Consider the following 10,841-nt stretch of genomic DNA (forward strand, 5'->3'; position numbering starts at 1 on the left):
AGGGGGTCAGCCGCTCAGTTCCTGGTGCACTCACCCAAGGAGGAGGCTGGCTTCTCCTGCTTGTTGCGGCTCCGGCGGCTGCGGCCCTTGCCCTGGGGCAAGCTCTGTGGCCTTGCTGGGCCTGAGGGCTGCACAGACTCCTGCTCCTGAGGCCGTGCCTTGGCCTCGCCTGGCCAGTTTCGCCAGGAGCTGCCCTTCTCCTTCTCAGTTTTGGGACTGCCAGCCCAACCTGGTCCTGGCCGGCTCCCCCGGCTCCCCTCTCCAGCCTCAGCACAGCTGCCTACTTTGGGAAGCTCTAGGACCCTGCCTGGCTGCTTGGGGCCAGCGACCTGGCCCTTGGCACTGGGAACCTCTAGGCTGGCTGGGGGCCGGGGGGCTGGGCTTGCCTCGCTCTTCTTGGCCTGACTGCCCTGCCTCTTGCCCTTCTGTGGCTTCCCACCTGAGGACACAGGCTCAGGCAGCTCCTGCTTGCAACTGGGAACTTCCTTTGAGCTTGGCTCCTCGGAGCTGGGGTAGCCCGGCTTGGGTGTCTTGACCCAGATCACCCGGGATAGGTTGGGCACGGTGTTGAGTCTCCTCACGAGCCCGTTCTCGGGGACGATACCGGGAGGGGGCCCCCTCACCTCTGTCCATGGTGGGTGGGGGCCTCTCATTTCTGCCCATGGTGGGGCTGGCTCGCCTGGAGCTTGTAACGTGTGGTTCTGAGGGGAGCCCAAAGTCAAAGGGGACAGGTCAAGGTTGATGTCAGGCTGCTGCTCTGAGGAGCCACTGAGGTTTGAGGGGGGTAGACTCTGAGGCTCAGGCTCAGCAGCCCCCTCCTTAGAGAAGCCATTGCTGTCCATGCTGAGCTCACACACACTGAAGCTGGCACGGATGGAGTCTTTGACAGTGTTTTTGATCTCCTGCAGACGGCTGCTCAGGAAGCTGTTGACCCGATCCAGTTCCCGGTCGGGCCACTCCAAGAGCCTCTCCCTGGCAGGCCTTGGCTCCCGGCTTCCAGAAACACGATTTGCCTGCTTTAGAGCTTCTGCTGCCAACTGGGCCTTCTCCTTTTCCTGCCAAGGCAAGAGGCAGTTTTAGCAGGAGGCTGTCAACTGCCAGGCACAATGTGATACCTGACCCATCAGCCTGGGGCCCAGCTTTGCCACTAACTTGCTGGAAGCAAAGCCTTAAAATCCTAGCCTGCTTACCCACCCTGCAGGAGTGAGGGCAAACTGCAGCCAGACAGGTACATGTCCTGGGGGCAGGGGTAGTCACACCCACAGAGGGTAGGGTTTTTACAGCTTGTTCACCCAGAGCCTCAGTTTCAGTGGACTAATCTGCAAAATGGGGACAATAATTCCGGAGTAAAGCCAAAGTGGGGATGCATGTGAAGACCACTACTAGAGAGGCATTCTCTCCACCCCTACGGGTGGTGGGGAAAAAGCCATGCCATCACGGGGTCTTACAGGAGGCAGGTGTGGGGGTAGATGAGATTACTCTGGTTGGGAGGGCATGTGCCTTCCTGATGCTATGTCTGGGTGTTACCAAAGAGGGCGGTGTTCCCGTAGAGAGGCCACTTGCTGCACATTTGGTCTCAAGTAATCAAGGTCACACCTAGAGTGTGCCCAATGGCATACCATGGACAAACACACTGGCCTACACAGCAAGATGTGAGAGCTGCTCCTTTGCCCAGGTGAGGCCTGGAAGGCTCAGAGAGGCCAGGCCCTGCCAGTTGGCTTTGACAGATCTGGATCTAGGGAATCAAAATGAAAGTCTGTGGGATCTCAGTCACCCCAACCTCTCCATCCCACCTCAAGGCCAACGATGCCTTTAGAGGGAGACAGGCGGCAGATAAAAAACCCTCGGGAAGGAGGTTGCTGTGGTGCGCCTGGCGCCATTGACTCCCACTGCCTCCTGTACTTCCAGCTGATTTGGGAATGGAGGAAGAGAAACATGAAAGGGCAGCTGGTGAGAGAAACCAGGGCTTGCTACCACCTCGGAGTCAATGTACAGAGGGTGACCCTGCGTCCCAGCAGGCACTTATCTTTTGTGAACCCTGGCTCCACAATGGACTACAGTCAATTGTTCTGTGGGACCTTGGACAAATCACTTATTCTCTCTGAACCTTACTTTTCCTATTTGTAAATTAGGAAGAAGAGGCATCTCTACATTCCAGGGTCAGTATGAGGACAGCTGAGAGTCTGTGTGGGGTCCTTTCCCATGTGCGAAGGTGGGGCTGGGCTTCGTGGCCCTCAGGGAGCAGCTTGGTCTGCAGCAGCTGCAGCAGCATTTCTAGCTGTGAGTAGGGCTCAGAGGCCCTGGGTTGGACCAACGAGGACCAAGGGCCCTTCACCTCGCTCCCCCAGCACCACACAGATTTCACAGAAAAGTTTGGCTGCTAAAAAAAAAAAAGTTTGACAACTGCTGGTGTGGAGGGAATGATATGGAACCATATACACTCTGGAAGCCAGAGGAGAAAGCACAGAAACACACACTTTCTGCTCTGTACCGTCAGCACTTCCCATAGATGTCTCCTTTAATCCTCGCCACTGTCTTTGCTGCATCATGACCCTCTGCTTATAGGTGAGAAACCTCGACTTTGGAAAGAACAGGAGGAGGAGGTGGCTAGGAAGTGGCAGAGCCAGGACAATACACCCAGGCCTGATCTTCAGAAGTTCCTATGTTTCTCAATTCCATCTGACAACCATTTACCGACCATTGAGGCTGTGAGGCAGCAGGCCAGGCCCTGTGAGTTTAGCGTACGTGAGACATTCTCTGCCTCGCTGACTTCAGTCTGCTGAGGGAGACAACAGCAAACAGCCTGTTGAATTCAGAGTGACAGTGACAAGTGCTGCATGGAAGAAAGCACGGGGTGATCTGGGAATCTAGAGGAGATGCTCCCAACACAGACTGGTTCACCAGGGAGTGCTTCCTGGAGGTGGGAGGATCTGCACTGAGCACAGAATGGGGAGTGGAATCATCCCGGAGGCAGTGAGACAAGCATTTTCTAGAGAGAAGGAATAGCAAGTGGAAAGGCTGGAAATGGGAAAGCTCAGTATCTTCTGGGAATGCAAATCATTCAGAGGTATAGCTGTAGCCCAGATTTTTTGGGGGATGTGGGGGTTGGGTGGGGCAGGTGGGCAGGAAGGTCAGAAAGGAGAGGCTGAGAGATAAAGCTGGCAGGGGCTGATCGTGAAGGGCCCTGCAGGCCCTACAGTGTTTGTGCCCGAGGGCAATGTCCAGCCACTGATGGCTTTTAAGGTAGTGGCAGTAGGGTGGAGAGCGGTGGACTGGTCTGAGCTATCAGCGATGTGGCATGGATAGGGCTTTTGGTGCTGGGTAGGGAGACAGAATGAGAAAAGTCAGAGAAACATTGATGGCCACTATGGCTGCCACAGCAGCCCCACTGCCTGAGAACTCACATGTGCCAGGCACTCTGCCTAACCTTTCCATGCATCGCTCCATTTCATCCCTGCAACAATCTACGACTTAGGTTCTGTTATTCTCATTTTATGGATGAAGAAACTGAGGCTTAGAGGTTAAGTGATTTGCCCAATGTCATACAGCAAGTGTGGCAGAGCCAAGTGTCAAACTGAGATCCAGTTCCAGGCATGCTATTCCAGGTCACTATGATGCACTCCCCAGGCGGGCGCCCAGTGCTCCGGCTCAGGCAACAGGGTGGGAGGCGGTGCCATTGACTAGACAGACAACAGAGAAGGGAAAGCAGGCCTGTTCGGAGAAAGACAACAAGCTGAACTTTGGATGTGCAGAGTCTGAGATACCTGTGGGACGTCCACAAGGAGGTGTCCAGTAGCAGTTGGAGACGTGGATGTACAGGGTGGGGAGGAAACACTATTGGGCTGTTTCTAGATGGCATCTCTTTCCCAGGGAGATGTCCCCATGAAGGAGGGTCAAGTGGAGGACGAGGAGCTCACAAAGGAGACAGAAAGGACGTCAGAGGGGCAGGCAAGACATCTGGAGAACATGGCACTCCCCTTGCCCTTTCCTGCCTGGCTGAGGACAGAGGAGCCCAAAGACAATGTGTGAAAAGGACAAACACAAATGCCAGATATTCTCTAGTGGACTAACACGATAGGAACAGCAGAGGAGGATGGATTTGGCAACAAAAAAGTCACCGGTGACTCTGGAGAGGGTGTGGGTAGAAAACCGCCTGCAATGAGCTAATGGGTGGAAGGGAAGACAGTGAATGCAGACATCATTTTTCAAGAAGTGTGGCTGTGATGAGAGGAAAGAGGCTGGGGAGGGGTTGAGAGAGAGGTAACAGGCTCAAGGAGCAGTTTGCTTCCAAAAAAGAGAATGGTGGACACAATGAAATGTGGACGGGAACAGCATGGAGGAGAGGCTAAGCTAGACCAGGAGCCTGCTGCTGGGCTGAGGGGTCAAGAAAGTACCGCACAGGCCTTAGGCGGGAAAAGGGTGACTCTCATGACAAGGAAGAAAGTATGTTTGCAGGTGGGAATGGCAAAACAGTGGGAGAATCCCTGTATAATGGCTTTTTTCCTCATTGAAATAAAAAGTGAGGCTATTTGCCAAAAAATAAGGTGTGGGCTCGGAAGGCCTAGCGGTTTGAGAAGACTGGAGGCCTGACAGAAGGACTGTGGGGAATGGACGTGCTAAGGTACAGGAAGCCCAGGGAACCATGAGAGGCCCGCCTGGCGACACGGGAACTCGGCAATCGGGAGCCCACGTGGCTGGCTGCCACAGATTCACTCATGTGCTTTTCTTGAGCTGTAGAAAGGGAGAGCCAGGCTGGGGTGGAACCCAGGGCTGCAGTGTTTCTGAGTGGGTCTGAAGGAAAGACAGCGGGACAAGGAATTGAGTACTGGTGAGTGAGTGAGTGAGTGATGGGTCAATTTGCCTGCCCTCCTACCAATACTTAGCAATGCTTACTCCATTCAAGTGAGTGAGAAACGGATTGACCTGGGAAGAAGAGAACGGGGCAGGAGAGTCTTCAGTGGATGTGGAGGAGTGGCAGGAGGTCACAGATGACAGAGCCAGGGGTGCAGTTTTTAAGAAGCAGGGTGTCTCTCTGCTCCCTTCTCCCACTGTCAGCCCATGACTCTCTCACCTTCGTGTAGACAGAAGACACAAAGACAAGGTGAGAGTGTCACGGGCTGGCAGTGGGAGAAGGGAGCAGAGAGACACTGAGCTCTTTCCATTTCCTGAGGCGGGAGAGAAGGAGCAGCTGGGCTTTGGTGGAGAGCCAGACTGTGAAGTCCAGGAGGTGGAAGGAGACAAGGGAGGAGGCTGCTGTCTACAGAGATAATGACCATAATCACTTGATGCATCACGCTGCCACTGTGTGTCTGTCCCTGCCTGCAGCCCCACGACTAAGTCTGGAAAGGCAGGGCTGCCTGGTTCTGCCTGGGCCTGCCAGACAGGAGCTGTGCAGTGTGGGATGAGTGAGCAGAGCCTCCAGATATATGAGGTAGGTTGGGAGTACAGTGGAAGTTACCCAAGGATGGCTATGAAGGAGGAAACAGCTGAACTGAACTTGGAAGGAAAGTTTGTCAGAAGAAAAGGTGAGAGAAGATAGCATTATCAGTAAAGGGGAAGAGACATCTGAGCACACATATTTACGAAAAGCACATCAGACTTGGGAACTGCCGGATGTGCTCTCTGGGGACCTAACTGGGAACCACTGTCCTAAGAAGCCAGGAAAGGCCAGAGACTACTGCAGCCCACTGAACCTTTCTGGCTAGGTGACTGCATGGGAGAAAGACAGTGCTGACCACCTTCAGAAGGCAGCGGTGGGACCCCTTGGCTCACTACTTCAGGCGGCGGGAGAAGGATCCTGGTTGTCCTTGGGGCTGAAAAAGGATGGTGAATCACTTCTGCTTTCCAAAGCACTAGGGCTGTTTGACCACCCAGGAACTGGAACTAGCTGGTTGTTACACCCAAATCTCTTCGGATGCTGGGCTCCTAAACGTGTCACTGTGCAGATGCAGTTGGGAGTAGGCAGGTGAAGAGGTAAAGAAGCCACAAGGGACAAGCCATCAAGCTCTGGGGCTCATCTGGCAGGAGGGCTGCCGAGGAATAGATCACCAGGTTCTGTCCTCAGTCCCGAGGCCTGGTTCATTCCCCTGGCTTCAATTACATCTCTGCGCTGGTAAATGCTAGCCCTGCACTTCTCCACTTAGATGTCTCACGGGAACCTTCGAGTCAACATGCCTCAACTGAATTCACTGTCTTCTGCAAATCCCATCCTGGCTCAGTGAAAGGCACCACCATCTTGCTGGTCACCAAGCAAACACCTGGGAGACATCCCTGCCTCCATCTCCCTCTCCTGCCATCAGATCAAAGGCCCATCACTTCAGCTTCCTCTGAAAATCCCTCTCTTCTTCTCTGGCCCCACAATCAATCATCTCTCCCTTGGCCTGCGTTTCCTGCCTGAGGCATCGAACTCGAGGTCTTCCTGCCTGGAATCCTCCAAGCTACCTTCCATTTGGCCACGGCATAATCTTAGGATGCAGGTGTGACCAAGTGCATGCTTTGATTAAAACCCTCAGTGACTTCTCTCACCGGTAGGATAAAGCCACAGCTCTTCCGCAGGGCCTCAGAGGCCCTCCCTCAACAACACTGTCCATCCTGCCTCTCTTCTGCTCAGTTTTGGCTGTCAAGCTGCTGTGGAATGTGCCGTGCCTGCTGCCAGGAGGGCCCTCCTGAGGAGTCTGTACTCACAGTCAGCCTCTTGTAAAGCCATTTCCAGGCAGGATGGGGGACTTCCCTCATCCCAGTACTTGTCACATGCTAATATGCTTGTCCAGTTTTGTGTCAGTCTCCCCACTGGACAGCTTCTTCTGGGTGAGAACTTAACTGTGTCACACTTTGGCTGCCAGTATTTGTAGAAGTGTTTGCTGAATGAATAAATGACTGACTGAAGCAAGTCCTCAGCTTGGAGGAATCCAGCAAGCAACTTCTCAGGCCATGACACGTTTTTTCCTCCAGTTATTTGCCCCCAGGATCCCTGACCCTGATGCCTCCCAAACTCATTCAGACCTTCCCAGAACAGTGAGCCAAGCTGAGGCCTTTGGCAGCCAGCATCATTCATGCCCCAGAAGTCCTGGGGGTTGGGGCGAGGGTCCTCAGGGAGGAGAGACGGCAGAGCTGGGCTCTCCCTACACCCACCTTCTTTTTCAGCTTGTGCCGGGCCCGCTTGGCGGCCCTGGCGCTGTTGGGGACTTTGGGCTCCGTGCTGTTGATGAATTCCAGCAGCTCATCCACATCTCGGTGGTCCACGGCGGGCTCCCCAGGGATCCCGCCCAGGGTGCCCCCCTTCATGGGCAGCTCCTCTTTCCGCCTGGTCAGCCTCGAGCGGAGCTTCTCCCGGATCTCGGTATAGTTCCGACTCGTCGGGGCAGCGGGTGGCTGGGGGTGGGGGGGAGGTGCTGACATTACACCCTGGGCCTGGGGGGCCCACAGCACTCCCTCCCACGGGCACCAAGTATGTGATGAGAAGCAAGACAACTGTTCTCTCTACCATTAGCCACCAAGGCCACATGGCTTCACCCTCTCAGCCAGGCTGAATCCAGGCGGCAGTGGGTGAAGGGACTAGGAGGGAACAGGGCAGAGCTGGGCAAACACTGACTGGGGAGCCAGAAAAACAAGTTGGAGCCCGGGCTTCGTCACTGGGAAGCTGTATGACCTTGGGCGAGTCACCGAGTCTTTGTGAGCCTCAATTTTGTCATCTCTAAAATGAGGATAATAACCCCTAGCTCAAAGGTGACTAGCAATTTAATTACTTTCATTTCTTCTATCCTCAGCTGCTCTACCCTAACCAGCGGCCCTCTCCTCTTCACCTTATGAGACTTCTGCACTGCTTCCTCCCCCTGGCCAGAGCCAGCATGCCCTCTGATCTGAGCCTCCTTCCTGGCGCCGTCTGTGCTCACGGCCTGTCCCTCGGCTGGCTGTCACACTTGGGGGACTGAGAGCCTTTTTGCTTCCACTCTGCCTTCATCACTCCCAAGCGTTCACTTCTCTGGGATTACACACGTATACATACTCATCAGAATCATAGCTTTCTCTCTGCCATTTCCTTTCCTTTTGCCTAAGGAAAAAAAGTCAATCTTAAGAGAAACCATGAGAAGAGCAAAGGTAGCAAAATGTTTAAAAACCCCTACCTCACAAATGTGCTGTGAGGATCAAGCGAGCAGACGCAGGTGCAAGGACTCACGGCCCCAGCACGGTAATTACCACCGTGAGCAACGGGGTCTCTGGGGAGAGCAGGGTGCTCCTTTTGCTCACCTTGGCTGGCCCCCAGCCCTCTCTAGCCTGGGCAGGCTCACTCACCGCATTGTGGCCGAAGAACTCACAGTAGCAGCAGTCACAGAACTTCCCATCTCTCTGGTGGGTGGAGGATGAGGTGCAGGAGCTTCGCTCAGAGCTGCTATCCTCTTCCTCACCCAGCCCCTCATCTGCCTCGCAGGGCTGGGGCAGCTGGCAAGCCAGGCCACTGTGTGCAAACTTGTGCCCCTTGCACCCGGGATCCCTGATGATGGGGAGGAAGGCCCAGAGGTGAGGCAGGGTGATGCAGAAACCCAGGAAGCATCCCAACCACCACCTGCCATCCTGACCGCCCTTCACTTGCCCCACTCCACAGAGGTCCCAGGTGGTCCAACTACATTGCACCTCTCACCTGAACAGGGCGAACACCTGCACTGTCCCTCAAGGCCCATCCCAAACACAAATGTGGCTCTTCTGGAAAGGTTTCCCCACGCCTCCCCTGCCTGCACCCACCATGCACCCCTTCTCAGGTTACTGTGCACACGTCACTCCATCTTCTGCTTATTGTGCGTCACTGTCATGGTCTGTTTGCGCATTTGTCTCTCAAACTGGACTGCACGCCTCAAGGGCAGGGGCTGTGTTGCTTCAGTTTTTGGGTCCCAGTGTGTAGCATAACAACCCTGCACACAGCAGGTGCTCAATAAATAGGCCTGAACCCATTAGTGGGCTGAAGGCTCCTCTGGAACACTCAGGGCTATCCATGAGGCCAGTCTCCTTTCACTTTCTAAGGTGCTTCTGAGCAGACTCTGGTGCTCTGGAGTAGATGGGTGGAGCTGCCTTAACCACAGGGCACGGAGTTGAGAAAAAGCAAGTGACTTCTGGGACACCAACTATAAGAGCCACTGTTTGTGCCAGGTTCTAGAGTCGGCATTTTTTTTTTTTTTTTGAGACGGAGTCTTGCTGTGTCGCCCAGGCTGGAGTGCAGTGGCATGATCTCGGCTCACTGCAAACTCCGCCTCCCAGGTTCACGCCATTCTCCTGCCTCAGCCTCCCGAGTAGCTGGGACTACAGGCGCCCGCAACCACGCCCGGCTAATTTTCTTGTATTTTTAGTAGAGATGGGGTTTCACCATGTTAGCCAGGATGGTCTCGATCTCCTGACCTAGTTGATCCACCTGCCTCGGCCTCCCAAAGTGCTGGGATTACAGGCGTGAGCCACTGCGCCCGGCCTTGGCATATTATTTCTAACCATCCCCCAAGTCCTCCAAAATAAGTGTCATTATCCCCACTTTGCAGTGGTAGAGAGTGAAGCTGAGTACTTGACTGCTTTGCCCAACAGGTGGCCAGGACTCAAGGATGCAAACAGACAGTGACAATGATGCACGATAAACAGGAGGATAAAGTGAGATGTGCACAGTGCCCTGAGAAGGGGTACATGGTGGGTGCAGGCAGGGGAGATGTGGGGAACTCAAGCCCACGTTTCTCTCTATGCAAAGCTCATATTCTCTCCACTGTATTGTTCTGCCTCTGGATTTCAGGAAGCACTGGGATATCTTGTAATACAGAGTATTTTCCCAGGGTAAGAATGAGACATACGCCTGAAACATCCCATAATTTGAGCCAGGAAGAGCTGAAGCCTTAGGCTGGGCCATGAGCAGCTGAAGCACCCATTGGGCTGGTCCCAACGCTGGGCTGAGGCTGAGGTGGCAGGGGAACTGAGAGCAAGGACGGAGCTCAAGGAGCTGTGTGGAGGCCCAGCTTCCAGGGCAGTCCAAAGCAGCCCTCTCTGCTGCTAGAAAGGATGCTAAGCATGTGACGTGGATTAAAAAAGATGGTGGCAGGAATCATTATCAGTGGTGCTTACAGAAGTTTGTTCTAAACCAACCATTCATTATCTATTGCATTAGCAAAACTGATTTTTTTTTTTTTTTTTTGGAGACGGAGTCTCGCTCTGTTGCCCAAGCTGGATGGAGTGCAGTGTTGCGACCTCGGCTCACTGCAACCTCCGCCTCCCAGGTTCATGCGATTCTCCTGCCTCAGCCTCCTGAGTAGCTGGGACTACAGACACACGCCACCATGCCCAGCTAATTTTTTTTTTTTGTATTTTTAATAGAGATGAGGTTTCACCATGCTGGCCAGGCTGGTCTGGAATTCTTGACCTCGTGATCTGCTCACCTCAGCCTCCCAAAGTGCTGGGATTACAGGAATGAGCCACCGCGCCTGGCCAGCAAAATTGATTTTATTTTCTATTTTGAGACTGGCTCTCACTTTGTTGCCTAGGCTAGAGTTCAGTGGCACGATGTCAGCTCACTGCAGCCTGTATCTCCCAGGCTCAAGCGATCCTGTCCCACTTCAGCCCCCGCAACCTAAGTAGCTGGAACTAGAGGCATGCACATTATGCCCCACTAGTTTTTAAATTTTTTGTAGAGACAGAGTCTCATTATGTTGCCCTTGCTAGTCTCCAACTCCTGGGCTCAAGCAATCTTTCTGCCTCGGCCTCCCAAAGGGCTGGGATTATAGGCATGAGCTGGGCACCAGGCCACAAAATTGATTTTAGAAAAATTAAAATAGTGTGCTTGTGAATATGGGAAACCAGCACTCATTGGTGGTTACATC

General features: G+C 53.9%; 1 protein-coding gene across 20 annotated transcripts in view; it reads right to left on the minus strand.

The window, feature by feature from the left end:
* FAM193B (family with sequence similarity 193 member B) overlaps nucleotides 1-10,841 on the minus strand; it is a 34,776-nt gene that overhangs the window by 4,363 nt on the left and 19,572 nt on the right. For 10 of the 20 annotated variants that reach the window (XR_007058607.1, XM_011534572.2, XM_011534579.3 and 7 more), the window contains 3 exons: nucleotides 8,293-8,491; nucleotides 7,132-7,371; nucleotides 35-1,055 (listed from right to left, as the gene is read on the minus strand). Coding sequence is in view for 17 of the 20 variants with exons in the window: in XM_011534572.2 (XP_011532874.1) it covers nucleotides 35-1,055; nucleotides 7,132-7,371; nucleotides 8,293-8,491 (1,460 nt within the window). In the remaining 3 variants the exon portion in view is untranslated. Of the gene's footprint in view, nucleotides 1-34; nucleotides 1,056-7,131; nucleotides 7,372-7,802; nucleotides 8,051-8,292; nucleotides 8,492-10,841 lie in introns of those variants that run through there. The other 10 variants (NM_001190946.3, XM_047417327.1, XM_047417330.1 and 7 more) reach the window with 6 other exon arrangements.

This window comes from Homo sapiens, chromosome 5 (genome assembly GCF_000001405.40).
Source record: "Homo sapiens chromosome 5, GRCh38.p14 Primary Assembly".
NCBI lineage: Eukaryota > Metazoa > Chordata > Mammalia > Primates > Hominidae > Homo > Homo sapiens.